The sequence below is a fragment of the Homo sapiens genome, chromosome 2 (assembly GCF_000001405.40).
Source record: "Homo sapiens chromosome 2, GRCh38.p14 Primary Assembly".
Lineage (NCBI taxonomy): Eukaryota > Metazoa > Chordata > Mammalia > Primates > Hominidae > Homo > Homo sapiens.
Genome location: NC_000002.12, coordinates 37,374,912 through 37,398,156, shown reverse-complemented (window position 1 = coordinate 37,398,156; position 23,245 = coordinate 37,374,912). Strand labels below are relative to the sequence as shown.

The 23,245-nt window shown below is 43.8% G+C and overlaps 1 long non-coding RNA gene across 4 annotated transcripts, besides 6 other annotated features; it reads left to right on the top strand.

Moving 5' to 3' along the window:
* Positions 7,864–8,053: an enhancer, noted in NCBI's record as "active region_15583". NCBI's record gives its function as "activates an Ori minimal core promoter by ATAC-STARR-seq in GM12878 lymphoblastoid cells {active_cell/tissue: GM12878}" and the evidence as "EXISTENCE:reporter gene assay evidence [ECO:0000049][PMID:35858748]".
* On the top strand, positions 13,853–22,885 carry LOC107985868 (uncharacterized). Of its 4 annotated transcripts, none has more exons than XR_001739403.3 (3): positions 13,853–13,989; positions 21,430–21,560; positions 21,855–22,885. It is a non-coding gene; the product is annotated as an uncharacterized LOC107985868 (long non-coding RNA). The 4 variants fall into 4 exon arrangements; XR_001739402.3 differs by lacking the exon at positions 13,853–13,989 and adding an exon at positions 17,070–19,686; XR_007086286.1 differs by lacking the exons at positions 13,853–13,989; positions 21,430–21,560 and adding an exon at positions 17,070–19,884.
* Positions 18,005–18,205: a silencer, noted in NCBI's record as "peak3659 fragment used in MPRA reporter construct". NCBI's record gives its function as "represses an SCP1 promoter by STARR-seq MPRAs in K562 erythroleukemia cells {active_cell/tissue: K562}" and the evidence as "EXISTENCE:reporter gene assay evidence [ECO:0000049][PMID:32103011]".
* Positions 20,539–21,738: an enhancer, noted in NCBI's record as "BRD4-independent group 4 enhancer chr2:37603562-37604761 (GRCh37/hg19 assembly coordinates)". NCBI's record gives its function as "activates an origin of replication core promoter dependent on BRD2, P300/CBP, MED14 and CDK7 cofactors, and independent of BRD4, by STARR-seq in HCT116 cells {active_cell/tissue: HCT116}" and the evidence as "EXISTENCE:reporter gene assay evidence [ECO:0000049][PMID:35650434]".
* Positions 20,539–21,770: a biological region, named in NCBI's record as "BRD4-independent group 4 enhancer GRCh37_chr2:37603562-37604761".
* Positions 21,711–21,770: a silencer, noted in NCBI's record as "silent region_11359". NCBI's record gives its function as "represses an Ori minimal core promoter by ATAC-STARR-seq in GM12878 lymphoblastoid cells {active_cell/tissue: GM12878}" and the evidence as "EXISTENCE:reporter gene assay evidence [ECO:0000049][PMID:35858748]".
* Positions 21,801–21,850: a silencer, noted in NCBI's record as "silent region_11358". NCBI's record gives its function as "represses an Ori minimal core promoter by ATAC-STARR-seq in GM12878 lymphoblastoid cells {active_cell/tissue: GM12878}" and the evidence as "EXISTENCE:reporter gene assay evidence [ECO:0000049][PMID:35858748]".
* Positions 22,886–23,245: the final 360 nt, after the last annotated feature.

Here is a 23,245-nt window from a genome sequence, read left to right as displayed (position 1 = left end):
GCCTCCCGAGTTCATGCCATTCTCCTGCCTCAGCCTCCCGAGTAGCTGGGACCACAGGTGCCCGCCACCACGCCCGGCTAATTTTTTGTATTTTTAGTAGAGACAGGATTTCACCTTGTTAGCCAAGATGATCTCGATCTCCTGACCTCGTGATCCGCCCGCCTCAGCCTCCCAAAGTGCTGGGATTACAGGCGTGACCCACCGCGCCTGGCTTTATGATCCCATTTATAGGAACTGTCCAGAAATGGAACATCTACAGAAACAGAAAGCAGATCAGTGGCTGCCTGAGGCTAAGAGTAAATAATAATTGACCGCAAACAGGCAAGAGGAAGCCTCTGGTGTGAAGGAAATATTCCAAAACCGGATTGTGATGATGTTGCACAAGTCAATAAATATACTAGAAATTATCAAACCGTACACTTACAATGGGTGATTTTTATGGTATGCATGTATAATAGACCTCACTAAAGCTGTTTTTAGGTAACTAGAAAAATGACAGTTACCTAGGTTTAAAATAGCATTTTTTCTATTACTTAATTTTTTTAAATAACTATTGTTTTTGTCATTTCCTGAACACTTATCATGAGAGAGGAGCTGGATATTACATTTTCAATGTTAGTATCTTATTTATATTCACCTCAACCCTATGAAGTGGTTCTATTTATTCCCATTTTTCAGAGGAAGTTACTGAGACTTAGAGCTTTGGCAACCTGGCCAGGATCAGAGAGAGATGGTAAGTAGCAGAGCTAGAGTTCAAACTCAGGCCTGTCTGACTTTAAAGCACAGGCCTATTCCCTAAGCCACACTGCTGCTCTGCTAAGGAGTGAAAAGGGTTTCAAAGAATCTTTTTTTAGCCAAAGAAAGAGTGGTTACTGAGGCCACAAAACCCTTTATTTCAAAGCATATCGCATGCTCTCTCAAAGCCAGTTCTAGATAATTTATTTCAAGACCTTTGCTGCTGACCTAAAATGGAAACTGGACAAGTGACTTAAAGACTCAGACCACCCAAGGTCTACCCAGCCTCTCCCAGCCTCTCATGATTTCTGGTTGGTTCAGCTGGTTGCAGAACAAATGAAATGAGTACCTCTGTTTAGTGCACATACAAATCTCCCAAGATGACCATTTAAATGGAAATTCTAGGGTCTCATGCTGAGATATTCTGGTCCAACAGGCCTGGGGTGGGGCCTCAGAATTGGTTTTTTTTTTTTTTTTTTTTAATTGAGAGAGGATCTCACTCTGTCACCCAGGCTGGAGTGCAGTGGTGCAATCACAGCTCACTGCAACCTCTGTTTCCCGGGCTCAAGCGATCCTTTCACCTCAGCCTCCCAAGTAGCTGGGACCACAGGCATGCGCCATCATGCCCAGCTAACTTTTTGCATTTTTGGTAGAGATGGGGTTTACCATGTTGTCCAGGCTGGTCTGGAACTCCTGAGCTCAGCAATCCTCCCGCCTTGGCCTTCCAAAGTTCTGGGATTACAGGTGTTAGCTACCGTGCCCTGCCAGAATCAGCATTTTTAACAAACATAGGAAAATTGTTAAAATCACAGGCTTCACTGATCAATGTACCCAGGTCTGAATACTGCCTTAAGCCATTGGCACCTTAGCATTGAGCATCTCTGAGCCTTAATCCCCTTATCTAGAAAAGAGTGTTGATAATAACTGTCTTTTAAAATTGCTGTGAATTTTTTATTACCAGATGCTTTGAGAAAGCCCTCAGTACGCAGTAGCTTTTTTTACACGTGTGTGTGTGTGTGTGTGTGTGTGTGTGTGTGTGTGTGTGTGTGTGTTTCCTAGAGAACCTGAGAGAATGGAGTTTTGCCAGCAGTCCAGATTGACTGCTTTTTCTCAGAATCAGCTCAGCAGCAAACACTGCTGGGCTGGAAGAAATCAACCCAACACAAAAAGCAAAATCACCAGGCCCACAGCCCTCAGGCACTGCCAATTTGTATCCCTTGTAAGAGACTTTTAATATTTGAAGCTGAATCTTATTGACTCACAAATTTATTCTGTTCTTGGCCTTCAAAAAGGATCCTGAAAAAAAAAAAATTAAGAGAAATCATGAGGCGAAGGTGACACCTACTGGCAGCGCGAGGGCCCTGCAGAGACCTTCCTGTTGCTCAGCTGCCTTGGCAGGGATTAATCCTCGAAGTACTCATCCTGCTGCCCTCGCAGGCAAAATACTATCAGTAAGGAAACAAGCAGACACGTAGCAAAACTTTACAGGCAGAAAGTTTACATCAAGTATTATTTATCAAAGTGAAATATTGGAAAGAATCTTTAGTGTTCGACAGTAGGAAACGGGTTAAATAAATTTTGGTACATCCATACAATGGAAGTACACAAGCAACAATTAAAAGCTTGTTTTTAAATCATTGTAATAACATGAAGAAATACTCGTATTAAAATAAGGGCTAAAAGCAGGTTATAGAACAACACAAATAGGATAATAATTAAGTAAAATTGTTGTATGTATATGCTCGTAGAAAGAAATCTAGAATGAAATGTAGAAAGTGATCATCTGTAAGATTAGTGTTTTCTTCTTTACACATGACAGTATTTTTCAATGCTTCTGCAATGGAAATGTATAGGGAATATAAAGCAAAAGAATAAAAAATAAATTCTTAATAAAGAAAAAGAATTTCAATGACATTTTAAGACAGAACCAGAGCCCCAAAACAGACACTGATAGAATAGTGGTGAATATCAGAGGCGAACAGTAAAGACTCAGATCTCAGGGACTATGATCAGAGAGGCCGATGAGAAACAGAGTCTGATCTATGCAATGACGTTAGCAGAATCAGATACGGCCACTTTGCAGGACAGTGGAACAAAAGAACAAAAATACAAGCCTGCGTCATTATCTAAGAGGCAGAAAGTTTTTTATTTTTCCTGGCCTAATCATCAGACTCTTACAACACCCTCTCTTTTTATCTCTAGAGAATTTTCATACATAAATGACTGATTAAAAGGTCTTCCCTGCTGGCTAAGTGCATACAACCGTCTCTGTCTCTTCAATGAATGTCTGATTGATGTACCTCTTATTTCTCCCACGGTATCGGGAGAGGCCCTGGCTCTATCACACACCAACTCTGAAACCAAAGGGAAGTCACTTGACTTCTCTCAGCTTCAATTTTCTCATTGATAAAAATAAAGATGACAATAGCCACCCAACTGACCTCCCACAGTTGCAATCTTTACATGAAATAATATGCTTTGAAAGCAACCCCGTGGGAATCACATGCAGGGTCATAGTAGCCAGTATCCTTCACTGAGTGATTAGGTGCCAGCCACTTCACAAGGTGTTTTCTTACATATTATTTCATTTAATCATCATAAAAAGCCTATGAATGAATATAATCTCCATTTTACACGTGGGAAACTTGAACTTATAACCTGATCAAAATTGAACAGGTTTTACATCGCAGAGCCAGGATTTGAATTCGGTTCTATCTCCAAAGTAAGGATCTTAAATAATAGGCTGTACTGCTCCACAGACTCTTAGAGCACAAAGGGACCCAACAAATCATTAGGCTGAGTCCCTGTAGTTAGCAGATGGGGACACTAAGTCTCAGAAGGGGAACATGACTTGCTGTTACAACTAACAAGAAACCACAAGTGTCTCTTCACAAGATACTAAGATCCATGGCATTGTCTTCCAGCCAATGTGGTTCCTGGTCACTCAAACCTCAGGGAGTGGGCTGGGGTTTCTGTTCTCATTTAGCACCACTTCTGCATTGCTGGTAACCAGAAACTTTTGAATCCACCCTGTTATTCAATGGCCAAATTACATATTCTGAACTGCACTGGGTGAACCTTTGAATTTCTGTGGAAAGTGAACTTCCACACAATCAAGTTTTCGCCATCACCAAAGCCAATGGGAGGGAGCAGAGGGGTGGGAGGCAGAGAGCCCACAAGTTGGAGGAGTCCAAGGTCACCAGCCAAGCTAAGCCCTAGATATACGTTGCCCCCCACATTTTATCATCTTAACTTGAACTCTTAAGAGTGAAAGGGGATGCTACTGATCATGACAGTCACCATCTCCATAAGGTGCTATTGTCAGAAGCACCATCTTGAAGGAGAAGCTAGCAAGAAACAGAGGTACCAGAACCTAAGTCAAAGGTTATGAGACCAGAGGCAGAACGATGAAGCTGGGTTTGAGGATCCCTCAGGTTGTGGTCCTGAAACAGTCAAATGATTTGCTTTTTATCAGTACCAAGGTGTCACTTCTCTGGTGCTGTGCCTTAGCACAGGTAGTGATAGCAGTGACTGTAGTATATGCCAGTATCACAAACAATTTAAAAGTCAGCATACCCACTGAGTATGCATGGACATAAGATTCACTACAAAAAAAAGTTCTCTGTTTAGCTCACTCCAGCTCTCTTCTCACTCCAGCTGCAATTCTATGAACAAAGCATTTCCCCCTAAAACCTTTCACTTTTCCTATCATTTTTTATGTCCACATAAAAGAAGAAAAACAGAATCAAGTATCCATTCCCCTTTGCATCATGAAATATGATGTAGCCTCCCAATAACCAAGGCAAGGTAAAAGAGAATAATCTAGAGGTCATGCCTGTTCACTGGGTCTAACTAATAGGATGCCTGATTTTTCTTTTAATCAGATTGGCTTATTCTCAATGACCATGAAACAGACCCCAGAGGACATGTGGATTGACAATTTTCTGGCCTACAGTGTTATCTCCAGTTACAACCTAAAATCTCTCTGGTCCTCAACCATAACAAGCTACAACTTAAACTCTGGTGCTCTGTGGACACTTGCCCACCTTTCATTTGCCCTCTCTTTTGAGACTATCCCTGATTCCATTGCTATTTATCCACTCATTTAACAAACTCACCATTGCCAGCCTCTGTTCAAATAAGCAAAACAAAAATCCCTGCCTTTGTGGCACTTATATTTCAATGGGAAAGTCAAATAATATAAAACAAACATTTTTGGGGAAACAGGGTCTCACTCTGACGCCCAGGCTGGAGTGCAGTGGCGTGATCATAGCTTGCTGTAGCCTCGAACTCCTGGGCTCAAGCAATCCTCTCAGCTCAGCCTCCTGAGTAGCTGGGACTACAGGTACACACCACCACACCTGGCTTTATTTTATTTTATTTTATTTTATTTATTTATTTTTTTTAGTAGAGACGAGATCTCACTATGTCGCCCAGGCCGATCTTGAACTCCTGGGCTCAAGTGATCCTCCTACCTCAGCCTCCCAAAGTGCTGAGATGACAGGTATAAGCCAACAAGCCCAGACAAAAAGCAAACATATTAAATAGGTAAATTTTACCATATGTTAGAGGGTGATACAGAAATAAGTAGAACAGAGTAAAAAATCTCAAGATTAAAACTTTAAACTGAGGGGAGGGATCAAGCAAGACATCGTTGAAAAATTACAGTTCAGCAAGGAATGGAATAATATTTTTTTAAAAAATAGCCATGCAGGTATGTGGGGAGAAAATATTCCAGGCAGAGAGAACAGCCTGTGCAAAGGTCCTGAGGTAGGATTAAGACTAACATGTTCAAGAAACAGCAAGTAGGCCACTGTGGCTAAGGAAGAGTGAGCAATGGAGGAGACTAGTCAAAGATGAAGTCAGAATGGTGCTCAAGGACAGATCACAGAGGACCAATCAGACCACTGTAAGGGCATTTATTCTGAATGAGATAAGGAATTATTGCAGGGCTTTGAGTAGAGGAGTGACATGACGGGACCTAATTCCTTAAAGAACCGCTCTTCCTGCTGCATGAAGAATAGACTGAAGGGGGCAAGGGTAGAACCAGGAAGCCTTGATAAGAGGCTGTTAAAGTTATCAAGGTAAGAGATAATGGTGGCTTGGACCCAGTGCAGCAGCAATGGGGGTGGTAGAAGGTGATTGGATTCTGGATGTATTTGGAAGATAGACCTGGCCAGGCTACCTTCTGACTGGGTGTGGGATGTGAAATAGAAGAATCAAGAATGACTCCAAGGCCAGGCATGGTGGCTCACACCTATAATCCCAGGACTTTGGGAGGCCGAGGTGGGTGGATCACTTGAGGTCAGAAGTTCGATACCAGCCTCGCCAACATGGCAAAACCCTGTCTCTACGAAGCATACAAAAATTAGCCGGGCTTGGTGGCACACCCCTGTAATCCCAACTACTAGGGAGGCTGAGACAGGAGAATTGCTTGAATCCAGGGAGCGGAGGTTGCAGTGAGCCGTGATTGCACCACTGCACTCCAGCCTGAGCAACAGAGCGAGATTATGTCTCAATAAAAAGAATGACTCCTATGTTTTGGGCTACAGGAAGGTTGGAGCTACTGCCATCCAACAATGTCTGAAGCAGATTTGTGGGGAGGAGACCAGGAGTTCAGTGGGAACTTGCTGAATCTGACCTTCAAGTAGAACTGTTCAGTAGGCCGTTGTACATACAAGTCTAGAAAACATTTGAGAGCTCCAGGAGTTGCCAACATATACATGGTATTTAAAGACTTGAAGCTGGATGAGGTCAACAATGGACTGAGATGGAGAAATGAAGAGGAACAAGAACTGAGTCTTAGAGCCTTTCAAACTTGACAAGTCTGAAGATGAAGAGGAATCAGCAAAAGACACTGGAAAATAGCCACCAGGGTGTTGGAGGAAAATCCCATACAATTCTAATTTCAGTGGGCACACAGGACAGAACATTCTATTCTCGAATCTTCTTTGGTTCCCTGAACCAATGTAAACAAATTCCATACTTCTGAGTGCTTTTTTCTTTATACCTGATGCCCAACCATTTCAAGCCCTCTCCCTGGGTTTCCTGTATAGCTCTGGTAACAGCCAGAGCCACAGCCGCGACATCATGAAAAGCTCAGATGGGCAGCCTCTTTCCTGCTTTGATACATCCCATGTCCAGAGGAAGAACTGTGGATCTAAACAGAACCCACAGATGGTGGCCTACCTAACACTATCAAAACACAGAAAGAATGAATGCTCAAACAAGCTCCCCGTCAGGGTGTTGTGCTGCTTTCAGGAGCCCAGCAGCATGTAGAAGATGATGTGCAGAACTCGAGGAAGAGGATAGATAGACTTGAGGACCCAGAGCATCCTACAACTTGAGACATGTAGCCCACTACCTCTATGAGGATCCTGCCCTATATCCTTGTGGACCATGTGCTGAAGTTGCCCTTAGGAGGAAGCAATGTCTAGGAATTAACTTCTGAGGTTCTGAGAACACAGAAATATCTTCAAAGCTTCATCTTTACAATTGGATTTACATACTGACTCATGTTTGAAATTCTGCCATTATCAGAGTTTAATCACTTGATTTTAAAATGTTTCTAATCAACTCTGCTGTTCCTTATTCTCAGCTCAAAATGGGAACATAGAGTTTGATAGAGAGGAACCGGGAGAAGAGAGAAGGCATGGGATGATGAGGAGGGAGAAAGTCCCCTCCACTTCTGCCTCACCTCCCAGGAAGGAAACTAGTCCATAACAGGGAGGCAGGAAATGTAACCTCCCACCTGGAGTTTCCCCTGTTGACAGATGGGGGAGGAAGTCATGGGGATGAGTCAGAAACTCTTTGAGGGAGGCTTTGCTTGAGAGCTGCCTATGCAAATTGTCTTGGGCTTCCTTTTCTGCCACAGAGGAAACAGACTAAACCTAAAGGCTTTGCTGGTACACAGAAGCCAAAAGGAGATCAAGTGTGACTATTCCGAGGTCAGGTTTCTCGCTCGATGCCTGAAGGAGGTTCAACACCCCCTCCTTCCTCTGCCTACTCCTTCTGGCCTTCTGCCCTCCACCCAATTCTCTGTCTCACCCACAAATCCTACCCAATGCAGAAAAGTACTCCATACTGTGGTTCTTCATTTCTCTTTATTTCATAACCATATTTCTCATCTCTCTTCCCTGGGACTTCCTCAAATGTCCTTCTTTTGAAGGAGAGAGATGAGGAGGAGGCAAGAGGCATACCTAGGGAATTCCCTGGAGTTCAACTGAAACTTGTTGCAGTTCTGTTTCTAAGTCACCATTTCCCTGAGGGCAGCACTTTCAGAACCTACTGGCAACTGAAGTCTAGATCCCCACTCTGAAGCTCAGAGCCTCCCTTTGGCGGGCCTTGGGAAAGGAGGACAGGCACAGACAGCTTACACCCAGCATCTGGCTCCTGGCTGTGAGCTTGGATCTCTCCCTGCATCTGTTCCCTCGGTGCCTAATTCCAGCCCTGTGGGTAGATTTGGTCTTCAATAGCTGTCTGGTGCTTCAAGCTTTGTTTGTCTAGCTAGAAGCTTCAATTCTTGGTTTTTTGTTTTTTTTTTTTACTTCAAATAACCAGGTACTCCATAATACTTGGAGTGTTCATCTGAAAACTCAAAATGAGTCACTTCGATTTGAAACAGAGATACAGGATTAGCATAATAGAGTGAAAAGGCATGAGACTGGGTGCAAATCCCAAAACCTGACTTCTGGCCCAATCTTCATTATTGTATAAACTTGAACAAGTTGCTAAAGCTCTCTGTATCTGAGTTTGCCCCATCTCCTCCAGGATGAAGCAGGGCAGGCCTTGAATGAGGACAGGGGCCCTGAGAGCTGGAGCTGGGAGGTGTAGATGCTCATGGCAGCCAGTAGAGCCAAGAGGCAGAGGGCAAACCAGGTTCTTAGAGAACACAAAAGGCCCAGACCAAGGATACCAAATCTCTCACCACAATCAAGAGTAAAAGCCAGGAGATACACTGTTACATTTTATATAGGGTAGTTGGAGAAGGCCTGTGATAAAGGGACATTTGAGGCAAGTCCTGAAGCCAGAGAAATAGAAGCTGGATCAGTTCTTGAATATTTGTTTAATCACCAAGTATGTATTAAACCTCTGACACACACAAATATCTCCAAGTTGCTGGGAATACAATGATGAAAAACATAGACATAGTCCTTGCCCTCATGAAACCTACAATTTGATCATGAAAACAGGCTGCCCCCCACCCATAGTAAAACAATATTGTAATGACAAGTTGTGATAAGAAAAAAGAAAGAAATGAGTAGAGTGCTGAGATAGAAATATACAGGGAAGGACCTATTCTGGATAAGAGGATGTGAGGAACAGCCTCTGTGAGAAGGCCAAGAAAGAGACAGCAATGTAAATCGGGACTAAAGGAGAATCCCATGTGGAGGATAAGGATGTCCAGAAGCCTCCCTATGGCAGGGGACTGCTTAGTAAGTTCAAGGAACAAAAGAGGGCAATGGCATTTTAGGCCAGAGAGGGAGGGAAAGAGTGGTAGAATGTTGAGTTTCTGGGCCAGGCACGGTGGCTCACGCCTAGAATCCCAGCACTCTGGGAGGCTGAAGCAGGTGGATCACCTGAGGTCAGGAGTTTGAGACCAGCCTGCCCAACATGGTGAAACCCTGTCTCTACAAAAAATACAAAAAAAAAAATTAGCCCGGCATGATGTTGGGCGCCTGTAATCCCAGCTATTCAGGAGGCTGAGACAGGAGAATTGCTTGAACCCAGGTGGTGGAGGTTGAAGTGAGCCGAGATTGCACCACTGCACTCCAGCCTGGGCAACAGAGTGAGACTCTGTCTCAAAAAAAAAAAAAAAAAAAAAGATTGTTGAGTTTCTGAGTGGGGAGGGCCTTGTAGGCCATAGTAAGCCATAGTTAAGGAGTTCATATTAATTCTCAGTGCAGTGAAAAACCATCACAGGGTTTTATGCAGCATAGCAATGAGACCTGATTAATGTGTTTAAAACATTTCTCTGACTGTTGCATGAAGTCTAGAATGAAGCAGGGTGGAATGCTGCAGGGAGTCCAATTGGGAGGCTGTTGCATATCACAGGTGAGAGAGGAGGAAGCAGAAGCAAGATCAAGAGCAGATTCAAAGCAAGAGGTACCAAAGGATTGCCACAGATGAGTGGGACTTACCAGGTGACTTACAAGTGAACCATCCTGGCTTCAGTGAATCATCCTGGCTTAAGGTCCAGGATTAGGAAAGACAAGTTTCCTCATCATGAAGTTCATTCAACAAGTATTTAACATGCATCTACCATGTTCCAAGTACTAGGCCGGTCATTGAGGATACAGCAGTAAACGAAACAAACTCCCTACTCTTCTTCTGGGCTCACATTCTAGAGAGGAGAGAGAGATAACACACAAATAAACAGATAACAGTCCCCTAGAAATCAGAGCCTGAAACAAAAGCTCATGGCTTAGACTTTATGAGAGAAGGTGCAATTTAGGGGGAGTAAAAGTGAAGGAAAGTAGGAAGTGAGACAGGAAAGGAAGAATGGCAAATACAAGGGATGTGTTACCAAGATGGCCAGCTTTGCCACAAATACAGCTTGTTTCTCCATCTCCATCTCTTCCAGAGAGGTCAAATAAAATCACTGCATGTCAAAACAATCCACTGGAGGGAGGAAGGGTAAGCAATTAACCCTCGGTCTCTTCCTATCTCCTGCTTTCCATTGATTTGTCTACTGTGCAGGACATTAACTGTATGTATTTCTGGGTTGTGTCACTGGCCCCCAGGGCAGCTGCTGGGGAAGCCAGAGCTTCCCTGGATTCAGTTGAGTCAGACCTCAGTGTTGCAGCTGCTGCAGCTCCTACCAAACATAAGTCTAACCCTCATCTCTGGGGAAAGAAGAAGCAATGTGTAGCGTTAGGGGATGAAGTGATTGATGGTGGTGGCTTTACAGCGTAAGTTGTCACTAAGACCTCTCCAGGATGGAAAATGGGCAAGTCCAGGGGACAGGATGAAGGGGATCAGGGAAGGCCCCTCCAATTAAGTATTAGTTGAGCAAAACCTCAGATGAAATGTGGGCACATCCGACGCAAATATCTAGGGGAAAGCATTCCAGGCAGAGGAGCAAGCACATAGAAAGGCAGTGATTCAGGACTGTGCTCAGCTTGTTTGGGAAAAGCCAGGAGGCCAGTGTGGCCAGGAGAGGTGATGTAGGAAGAGAGCCATAGGAGGAGGGACCAGAAAGATGGAGGAGCCTGGTCATATGGAACCTTGTCAGCCATAGAAATGACACTGGATCCTATTCTGAGAGAAAGGAAAAGCCATTTCAGAGCTGTAATATGACCTGATTGCAATTTTTTTTTTTTTGAGACAGAATTTCACTGTGTTGCCCAGGCTGAAGTGCAGTGGTGTGATCTCAGCTCACTGCAACCTCTGCCTCCTGGGTTCAAGTAATTCTCCTGCCTCAGCCTCCTGAGTAGCTGGAATTACAGGTGGAACAACCATGCCCAGCTAATTTTTGCATTTTTAGTAGAGACGGGTTTTGCCATGTTGGCCAGGCTGGTCTCCAACTCCTGACCTCAGGTGATCAGCCCACCTATGCATCCCAAAGTGCTGGGATTACAGGCATGAGCCATCACACCCAGCCCCTGATTCCAATTTAAAAGGATCGTTCTAGTCCCTGTGATAGGAGACTACAGAAGCAAGGTGGAGCAGGGGGACCCAGGAAGAGATGATGGTGACTTGACCCAGAGGGGGAGCACTGCTCAAAGGGGACAGACCTGGGGTACAAAGGAGAGCCTATAGAACTTGATAATGTCCAGAGCTGAGAAAGAAGAGTCAGTACCTGGCTTAAAAAGTGTCCATGTACTAATGTAGGAAGAAGAAGGTTCGGGAGGATGCACGGAACTGTGAGTTCAGTTTTGCATTTCCTCATTTGAAGTGTCTTTGGGACACCCCAGTGGAGATGTTTGGAGTTTTGGGAGAGATTGAGACTGGAGATACTAATTTGGAAGTTATCTACACATAATCTTCAAACCATGGGGCTAGATGTGATCAGCTGGGGAGTGAGTATAGCTGGAGAAGAGGTCCAAGAACTAAGCTCCAGAATATTCTGATTTTTAAGAGTCAGAAAGACAAAAAAAGACACAGCAAGGGAGACAGAAGGAGAGACTAGAAAGGTAGGAGAACCAGGTGAAAGTGGTAACCTAGAACCCAAGGATTGACTGATCCACCAAGTCATTGCCTCTGAGAACTGAGTAAAAAGAGACTGGAGATTAGATCGGAGCTCCAAGCTAAGGTCTGCAGAGCACCAGCTTACAGGGAGGTGCTGAAGAGTCCCGGCTGCAGTGCGTCAGGGTGAGTGTGCTGGGGGGTTTGGATAAGGTTTCACCAATAAAGTTCTAGGCCACTCTCCTACCTTCAACCAGATCTGCACTGCTTTTATCTTTGGGGTTTTCGTGTGAGATATCCTTCAAAGAAAGGACTTTACTACTTAAAATACAAAAACGTTGAAAACTGTTGGAGTACATTCTACCACTGGGAAAGAGGCAAAAACGTGGACAGGGACCGTCCGTGCAGTGCAGCCCCAAGGAGAATCTAAAGCTGAGGGTGAAAACCATAGAGTAAATCAAGCTTGTCCAACCCGCAGCCCACCGGTGGCATGCGACCCAGGATGGCTTTGAATGTGGCCCAATACAAAACCATAAACTTTCTTAAAACATAATGGGCTGGCTGCAGTGGCTCACATCTGTAATCCCAGTACTTTGGAAGGCTGAGGTGGGTGGATCACCTGAGGTCAGGATTTTGAGACCAGCCTGGCCAATATGGCGAAATCCTATCTCTACTAAAAATACAAAAATGGCTGACTCTTTTCGGACTCAGCCCGCCTGCACCCAGGTGAAATCAACAGCCTTGTTGCTCACCCACATTGCAGCCCAGGGCTGCTCCCCACCCGCTTCTCCGTGTCTCTACCTTTTTCTTAACCTTGCCTCCTTCACTATAGGCAAGCTTCCACCCTCCATTCCTCCTTCTTCTCCCTTAGCCTGTGTTCTTAAGAACTTAAAACCTCTTCAACTCTCGCCTGACCTAAAATCTAAGCATCTTATTTTCTTCTGCAACACCGCTTAGCCCCAATACAAACTTGACAATGGCTCTAAATAGCCAGAAAACGGCACTTTCAATTTTTCCATCCTACAAGATCTAGATAATTCTTGTCGTAAAATGGGCAAATGGTCTGAGGTGCCTAACGTCCAGGCATTCTTTTACATATCAGTCCCTCCCCTCTGTTCCCAATGCAACTCATCCCAAATCTTCCTTCTTTCCCTTCCGCCTGTCCCCTCAGTCCCAACCCCAAGCATTGCTGGGTCTTTCTAATCTTCCTTTTCTACAGACCCATCTGACCTCTCCCCTCCTCGCCAGGCCGAGCTAGGTCCCAATTCTTCCTCAGCCTCGGCTCCTCCACCCTATAATCCTTTTATCACCTCCCCTCCTCACACCCAGTCCAGCTTACAGTTTCATTCCGCAACTAGCCGTCTCCCACCTGCCCAGCAATTTCCTCTTAAAAAGGTGGCTGGAGCTAAAGGCATAGTCAAGGTTGATGCTCCTTTTTCTTTATCCGACCTCTCCCAAATCAGTTAGCGTTTAGGCTCTTTCATCAAATATAAAAACCCAGCCCAGCTCACGGCTCATTTGGCAGCAGCCCTGAGACGCTTTACAGCCCTAGACCCTGAAAGGTCAAAAGGCCGTCTTATTCTCAATATACATTTTATTTTTTACCCAATCTGCTCCCGACATTAAATAAATCTCCAAAAATTAAATTCCAGCCCTCAAACCCCACAACAGGACTTAATTAACCTCACCTTCAAGGTGAACAATAATAGAGTAGCAGCAGCCAAGTAGCAACATATTTCTGTGTTGCAATTCCTTGCCTCCACTGTGAGCCAAACCCCAGCCACATCTCCAGCACACAAGAACTTCCAAACGCCTGACGGCAGCTGCAAGGCGTTCCTCCAGAACCTCCTCCCACAAGAGCTTGCTACAAGTGCAAGAAATCTGGCCACTGGGTCAAGGAATGCCCACAGCCCAGGATTCCTCCCAAGCTGTGTCCCATCTGTGCCACTGAAAATCGGACTGTTCAACTCACCTAGCAGCCACTCCCAGAGGCCCTGGAACTCTGGCCCAAGGCTCTCTGACTCCTTCCCAGATCTTCTCGGCTTAGCAGCTGAAGACTGAGACTGCCCGATTGCCTCGAAAGCCTACAGGACCATCACAGACTCTCTGGGTAACTCACAGTGGAAGGTAAGTCTGTCCCCTTCTTAATCAATATGGAGGCTACCCACTCCACATTACCTTCTTTTCAAGGGCCTGTTTCCCTTGCCTCCATAACTATTGTTGGTATTGATGGCCAGGCTTCTAAACCTCTTAAAACTCCCCAACTCTGGTGCCAACTTAGACAATACTCTTTTAAGCACTCCTTTTAGTTATCCTCACCTGCCCAGTTCCCTTATTAGGCCGAGACACTTTAAATTATCTGCTTCCCTGACTATTCCTGGGCTACATGCCGCTTTTTTCCCCCCAGTTCAAAGCCTCCTTCACGTCCTCCCCTTGTATCTCCCCACCTTAGCCCACTAGTATAAGATACCTCTACTCCCTCCTTGGCGACCGATCATGCACCCCTTACCATCTCATTAAAACCTATTCATGCTTACCCCGCTCAACACCAATATCCCATCCCACAGCACGCTTTAAAAGGATTAAAGCCTGTTATCACTCGCCTGCTACAGCATGGCCTTTTAAAACCTAAAAACTCCCCTTACAATTCCCCCATTTCACCTGTCCTAAAACCAGACAAGGCTTACAGGTTAGTTCAGGATCTGCGCCTTATCAACCAAATTGTTTTGCCTACCCACCCCGTGGTGCCAAACCCATATACTCTCCTATCCTCAATACCTCCCTCCACAATCCATTATTCTGTTCTGGATCTCAAACATGCTTTCTTTACTATTCCTTTACACCCTTCATCCCAGCCTCTCTTCGCTTTCACCTGGACTGACCCTGACTCCCATCAGGCTCAGCAAATTACCTGGGCTGTACTGCCGCAAGGCTTCACAGACAGCCCCCATTACTTCAGTCAAGTCCAAATTTCATCCTCATCTGTTACCTATCTCGGCATAATTCTCATAAAAACACACGTGCTCTCCATGCTGATTGTGTCCAACTGATCTCTCAAACCCCAGCACCTTCTACAAAACAACAACTCCTTTCCTTCCTAGGCATGGTTGATACTTTTAACTTTAGATACCTGGTTTTGCCATCCTAACAAAACCATTATATAAACTCACAAAAGGAAACCTACTGACCCCATAGATCCTAAATCCTTTCCCCACTCCTCTTTCCATTCCTTGAAGACAGCTTTAAAGACTGCCCCCACCCTAGGTCTCCCTGACTCATCCCAACCCTTTTCATTACCCACAGCTGAAGTGCAGGGCTGTGCAGTCAGAATTCTTACACCAGGACCAGGATCACGTCCTGTAGCCTTTTTGTCCAAACAACTTGACCTTACTGTTTTAGGCTGGCCATCATGTCTCCGTGCAGCGGCTGCCACCGCCCTAATAGTTTCAGAGGCCCTCAAAATCACAAACTATGCTCAACTCACTCTCTGCAGCTCTCATAACTTCCAAAATCTATTTTCTTCCTCACACCTGAGGCATGTACTTTCTGCTTCCTGGCTCCTTCAGCTGTACTCACTCTTTGTTGAGTCTCTCACAATTACTATTGTTCCTGGCCCGGACTTCAATCCGGCCTCCCACATTATTCCGGATACCACACCTGACCCTCATGACTGTATCTCTCTGATCCACCTGACATTCACCCCATTTCCCCATATTGGCTTCTTCCCTGTTCCTCACCCTGATCACATTTAGTTTATTGATGGCAGTTCCACCTTCCCTGCACATCAAGTTCAAGGATTTGCCCCCGCCCAGGACTGGCAAATTGACTTTACTCACATGCCCCGAGTCAGTAAACAAAAATACCTTAGTCTAGGTAGACGCTTTCACTGGATAGGTAGAGGCCTTTCCTACAGGGTCTGAGAAGGCCACCACGGTCATTTCTTCCCTTCTGTCAGACATAATTCCTCAGTTTAGCCTTCCCACCTCTATACAGTCTGATAACAGACCAGCCTTTACTAGTCAAATCACCCAAGCAGTTTCTCAGGCTCTTAGTATTCAGTGAAACCTTTATATCCCTTATGGTCCTCAATCTTCAGGAAAGGTAGAACAGACTAATGGTCTTTAAAGACACACCTCACCAAGCTCAGCCTCCAACTTAAAAAAGATTAGACAGTACTTTCACCTCTTGCCCTTCTCAGAATTCAGGCCTGTCCTCGGAATGCTACAAGGTACAGCCCATTTAAGCTCCTGTATAGATGCTCCTTTTTATTAAGCCCCAGTCTCATTCCAGACACCAGACCAACTTAGACTGTGCCCCAAAAAACTTGTCATCCCTACTATCTTCTGTCTAGTCAGACTCCTATTCACCGTTCTCAACTACTCATAAATGTCCTGCTTTTTTTACACTGCCGGTTTCTCCAAGCCATCACAGCTGATATTTCCTGGTGCTATCCCCAAACCGCCACTCTTAACTCTTAAAATAAATACTCTTTGCTGGCAAGGCTATGCTGAACCTCCTTAGGCACTCTCTAATTAGATGTCCTAGGTCCTCCCGATTCCTAGTCCTTTAATACCTGTTTAGAAGTTATTCCATTTAGTTTTTCAATTCATACAAAACCGTATCCAGGCCATCACCAATAATTCTACACGACAAATGTTTCTTCTAACAATCCCACAATACCACCCCTTACCACAAAATCTTCCTTCAGCTTAATCTCTCCCACTCTAGGTTCCCAGGCCACCCCTAATCCCATTCGAAGCAGCCCTGAGAAACATCTCCCATTATTTCTCCATACCACCCCCGAAAATTTTCACCGTCCCAACACTTTACCACTATTTCGTTTTATTTTTCTTATTAACATAAGACAGGAATGTCAGGCCTCTGATCCCAAGCTAAGCCATCATATCCCCTGTGACCTGCACCTACACATCCAGATGGCCGGTTCCTGCCTTAACTGATGACATTCCACCACAAAAGAAGTGAAAATGGCCTGTTCCTGCCTTAACTGATGACATTATCTTGTGAAATTCCTTCTGGCTCATCCTGGCTCAAAAGCTCCCCTACTGAGCACCTTGTGACCCCCCACTCCTGCCCGCCAGAGAACAACCCCCCTTTGACTGTAATTTTCCTTTACCTACCCAAATCTTATAAAACAGCCCCACCCCATCTCCCTTTGCTGACTCTCTTTTCGGACTCAGCCCATCTGTACCCAGGTGAAATAAGCAGCCTTGTTGCTCACACAAAGGTTTGGTGGTCTCTTCACATGGACGCGCATGAAAGATTTGATGTATGCAGAGAATATGTATGCAGATTTTGGAGTTTCTACCTTCTGTGGACTTCCTCTTTTTCTGGATTCCTTTTTCAATTCCCAGCCATTTTTGAGAGTGGGGGAAAAACATGTAAATATGGATTGCAACTAGTATATTTCCTTTTTTTCAATCATTTTATTCCCTCGAGTATCTGCCTGCTTGTCACTATCCTATGCTTTCAAATAACTATTTTATATGTCTTGTTTGACATTTATGATTGTTAGTAGCAGAAATGTTAGTATAATAAAATCTGTGCCAACACTATTCAAGGCAAGATGTCCTTAGGAAAACTTTAAAAATAAATTCCTGAAATATAAAACTTAAGCAAAAATAAAATACATATATTACACACACACACACACACACACACACACACAAATATATTTATATATAAATTAGCTGGGTGTGGTGGTGCACGCCTGTAATCCCAGCTACTCTGGAGGCTGAGGCAAGAGAATCACTTGAACTGGGGAAGCACAGTTTGCAGTGTGCTGAGATTGTGCCACTGCACTCCTGCCTGAGCAACAGGCAACAGAGGAAGACCACATCTAAAAAAAACACACACACAAACACACACATCATGGGACATTTTTGCAAATCCTTTAAGTTCACCAGCTATCACTAGCATTAGTGTTTTTAGGTGTGGCCCAAGACAACTCTTCATCTTCCACTGTGGCCCAGGGAAGCTAAAAGATTGGACTTCCCTGGAGTAGATGGTTTATAAGGCCTGTTTTAACCTCAAAGTGCTTGGATTCTACTCTCTTGGTCCCAGCCGCTGAACAACCATCTCAGTTCAGACTCCACCCCACGGTGTGGTCTGATAATGACCTTGATGAGGACCAATGACATGGCTGGTCCTCACACATTGGCCTGATAACATTTATCGGCCTCTGAGGAGTGGTGTAAGAAGCTTATATTTGATCAAAGTGCTGCCTTGAACTCTGACTTTGAAGAGAACTGCTGGACTGAAACATTCACAGTGAGTCAACAAACCCTTCCTTCCTTCTGCCAACCTCATCTTCATCCGCTTCAAGGTCGGCCTGGCCCCAGGCCATGTCTGGACAAGGTCTTGTCCATGACTGCCAGCCTCTGGTAGCAGAGAAGCTTACTTGTCCTGGTCAATTCCTAAGTAACCTATATTTTTCTTGGTTTCCTACAGACTGTAATCCCCCTGCCTTCTATCAAGGTGAAATGTTAACAAGTTTAAATATCCAGCGGTGCTCTTCCTTCCTTGGATGAAACTTTCTAAGCTCTATCACTTGTTTATAGGTCTGGAGAAATACAATGATCCTGAAGAAAACCTGAGCTTATGTGAAGCAACTTTGTTTTCCTTTGACAAACTCCCATTTCCAACACCAGAATCCAACTGCAAGGAAATGAAGCATAAACAGCTGAATTTAGAAATCTTCTAATTCTGATTTTTTTATTTTTGTTTTTGAGACAAAGTCTTGTCCTGTGGCCCAGGCTGGAGTGCAATAGTGTGATTATAGCTCACTGCAGCCTCGAACTCCTGGTCTCAAGTGATCCTCCCACCTCAGCCTCCCAAGTAGCTGGGACTACAGGCAAGAGTCACCATGCCTAGCTACTTTTTTTTATTTTTGTAAAGATGGAATCTTGCTATGTTGCCCAGGCTGGTCTCCAACTCCTGGCCTAAACAATCCTCCCACCTTAGCTTCCCAAAGTGCTGGAATTATAGACATAAGCCACCATTCCCAGCCTAATTCATATTTTTAAGCAGGAAGCATAGTCTACCTTATAACTCCTATGCTCTTCTTCCAAAACCTTTACCCTGTAGTTTATGAACTGCGATGAAGGACCAAGTATATCTCCATTCTAACAGCACATTATAATGTCCACACAATATATAAATAAAAGAAAAGCAGGCCGGTCACGGTGGCTCACACCTGTAATTCCAGCACTTTCAGAAGCCAAAGTGGGTGGATCACTTGAGGCCAGGAGTTGAAGACCAGCCTGGCCAAAATGGTGAAACCCCGTCTCTACTAAAAATATAAAAATTAGCCAAGTGATGGTGGCACATGCCTGTAATTCCAGCTACTTGGGAGGCTGAGGCAGGAGAATCACTTGAACCTGGGAGGCAGAGGTTGCAGTGAGCCAAGATCATGCCACTGCACTCCAGCCTGGACAACAGAGCGAGACTCCATCTCAAAAAAAATAAAAAGAAAAAAAGAAAGGCAATGTGGTACCATGCCTTAGGATCGTACATACGTCACCCAACTCGCTTACCTACTGTAATGGACGTTTGTTGCTCTTGCTTGTACGGCACTCTTTTTCTAGATCTTCCTTTGGACAACCGCCTCCTCCCTGCCTTCATTCCTGTGGTTTGGTGAAGCTGACACTTCTCCCAGCTATAGGGAGGGGCGTGAGCCACAGGCCAAAGTCAATCAGTGCATTCCATCCACCAGCCCAGAGACTGAATCAGCAAAGGTCCCAGAGCTCCACTTGGGCCAATGGCAGTCAGGCCAAGGACTTTGTGGAACTGTTGCTCAGAGGACAGGTACTCACCTTGCACTGAAACTGGAGTGATGGGAGTATGAACCTGGGGCTACTAACAGCCATCTTGCCCCAGAAGGAAGTACTTCCCTAAGTTTAATGCCTACCCAGAGGAGGGCAGAGCAGATAGACAAGAGACAGGGTTCTGGGGTCAACTGTGTCTGAAGTCAGAGACATGAAATAAATTTCGTTTTTTGCTCAGGTAAGTTTGAATTTTCTGTCACTTGCAAACCAATGGAATCTTAAGTGATCCATCCTCTCTGGATCTTGATAGCTAAACCTTTAAAATGAGAATGTTGAAAACTACTCAGTGCTGTGGAGGCACCATTGGCTTTTGGGGTGAGACAATTCTCTAGTGTGCAAACAGTCCTGAACATTCATTTTTGCCCCTAACCACTAAATTCCAGAAGCACCCCTCAGTCTTCATGACAAACATTCACCACCCATTCCACTACATAAGCACAGAAAGGCATACACACACACACACACACACACACACACACACACACCACATATTTTCAAATGCCCCCTGGGTGTAGCTGAAAACCAGTAAGCCAGTGAAGTAGAAAATCTCTAAGGTCCCCTCTAATCGAGCTGAAATCAGCCATGTCATGTATGAGAAATTAAGTTCCCTAGAGTCTAGTCTTAGCATCAACTGAGAATAATTTAAACTCTGTGTTCACTTATTTGTAAAATGAGGATGCTAATATACAGCTCTATGGGTAAACCTATGAAAGGATGATCACAATCAGTTACTTGATACGGAATCATTCTAACATAACCTAAAATGGAGCTTTAACATTCTCGAGGAAAATATCCTAAGTGCTTTTGAATACCATTGTTGCTTACAATTTTCCTCATTAAATAAAGTTTTAAAACTGAAGTTTTAAAGTTATCTTTTCCTAGCATTAATTTATCTATTTGTAAAGGATTAAAATCACTTATAAAGCTACTCACTGTAGCCAGCATTTTTCTAGACCTCTCAATAACATCTCCAGAAAAAGCAGCTGGCTTGGAGGAGGGCTTCATTTTTACAAAGAAATGGGGTTTATCACTTCCCAAGTGTTACTGCAAGGATGACTAGAGAACAACAGTGAAACTGGTGGCTCGTAGTCAGCTATGCTCGTTTACTTCTCCACGCCAAACTCTTAGCTCATGTCACTTACTACATGTCATTCTTTGTTAACCAAAACCACAAATGTTAAATCCATGAGTGCCAAGGACCTCCTGTACCACACAGTGCTCAGTAAGTGTAAGAGAATAAAGTTTCCAGTGCTGTTGATAATTTATGAGTTTTTAAATCTATTTTCATATTACCTTTGTAACCTTTGTGAATTTAGGGGTTTTTTGTTTTGTTTTGTTTTGTTTGCTTTAAGCCATGCTGTTTTCCCTTCTTGGCAATTTTGTGCTCTTAATGTTAATGCTCAAACAAACGGTCTAAACTCTTCGCTGGCAAATTCAGATATGTCAGGAGAGTGGGCACTGTTCCATGTGTTGCCTTTGAAATATGAGCACAATAAGATGACTTCACATTGCGTGCGTACGCCAACCAAATTCCGGCTGAGGAATACAGCCATGACACAAGACAGTCCTTTCATCCCAGCTCTCTATAAAACTGTCATAAATTATTGCTGCTGGATGTCTTGCCAGGAGCCTGGGGCCAATGTTCATGTGTAGGAGCATTTGAGGGGTATCCTATGCCACCCTACTGGCTCAACCACCTAACAACCTTTTCTCTCCACCTCAGCCCCTTGGAACACAGCAGTAGCTTTACACAATGCTATCTGCCCCTTGCAACAAAGCAGTAATTTCACTACTTGAGGGATGGAAAAGATGTACCATAAAAGACACAGAGGCGATAGACAAAAGGGAAGTAAGGTGAGGCAGTTAAACCACTTCAAAACTACTTTTAGAATTTCAGGCTACGTAAAAAGTGGCCCTGAAACTGAGAGTGAAACCTCAATCTTTTGTTCATTCATCTTTGAAGCCAAAAGTTAGCGGGAGGCTGGCTCTGAAAGCACAGCCTCATGACTTAAGATGAATAGCAAATTTAAATAATTTCCCCCAAATTTTCTACTTTAGCTTTGCTTTAAATTACTGCAGCTGCCCTGAATAGTCTCCCTCATCTTCTCTTTATTTCTTCTATTCCCCCCTCCCACATTCGTTCCTCAGATTCAGGTCTTGCACAGAAACTGAGCCTTGATTTTCCGCAGAATATACTGTGACCAAGCCTCCTGCAGGGCTGCCTGTACGTTAAAGAAATGGAAGCGTCTTGAATCGTGTCCATCGTCCCTCCTTTACACAAAGTAATCACCTCCAGCTGGGCCAAGTTGATTGAGGAAACGTTCAGTTTTCACATGATTTTGCTGTAGCACCATAATGAATGTATTTCTTTGATGGAAGAAAGAAGCTTCATGAAATAAACTGCTTAAGGATTTGAAGTTGGAGCTGAAAACATGGGCTGCTTTGTTCTTAATGACAACTGCTTTGCCATCTAAAACATTTCTCCTTTTTGAAGGATCTGTCTTTTCTCTTCCAGCCACAACCCTCGAGCTACAATAACAGGCTCATGATTTTTTTAGATGCCAAGGTTATGAATACTCTTTTATGAATATTTTCCTTTGAACTCATTTCTCTTGAAGAAGAAAAATAGCCCTACATATTGCAGGATTGACAATAACAGACAAAACGTACAAATTGTTCTCTTAGGGGCAGTAAAATGCTCCAAAATGCACATAGAAAAATTCCAAATGCAACCTGATGTTTATGGAGCACTGCCTTTGCAGCTATAATTTTTAGAAAGTAATATTTCTGACTGACATGAATTATACAGAGCATATTTCAGAGACTAATATCAGGTTAATGCCTTAAAATGTCTCCGTTTATGACATCATGGCTGCTTTTCCTATATCAGTGCAAACTCTTAGTGAGTAGAATTTGAGGATATGTCTTTTCAAAGGAAGAAAACCTTCACTGAATTAAGCTGCTTATGGTTTTATTTTTTCTTTTATCCCATTTCAACATATCCACCAACCTCCTCTAAAAATAATTCAACTAATGTGAACTCAACAGATTATAGTAGATCTCTTATTAATTTCATTTTGCCTCCAAAGGAGCTTATCATTTAGGCTTATAATTATGTATGCAGTACTGTCGACTAATGTTTAGGTTCCTCATTAAAACTTCATTTCATTCTGTTTTAATATCATCAGTCTGTTAGACCATTTATTTTCTCATGTTAAAAAATATGTGTTTTCCCTGAACTCTTTCCATATGTTTTCTCTCATCCAAAAAATCCAGAAAACTCAGCTCCCTTTAATCCTGCTTTGTGGCTTAGATACTTTAGCCTGGAACCACTCGTGTTGATTTGTATATACCCACACTTACGCAAAAATAGCCTTCACTACGGCAGAGTAATCATTCTGCATAGAAATTATGTGTCTCTGAAGCCTATGTTGTCAGGTGAATCGTGGCAGCAATGACCTAAGAATGCATCCCCAGTTTGAAATGACCTATAAAAATTTCAAGATACAACTATTGCTTTGCATTTGGCATCGGGAATA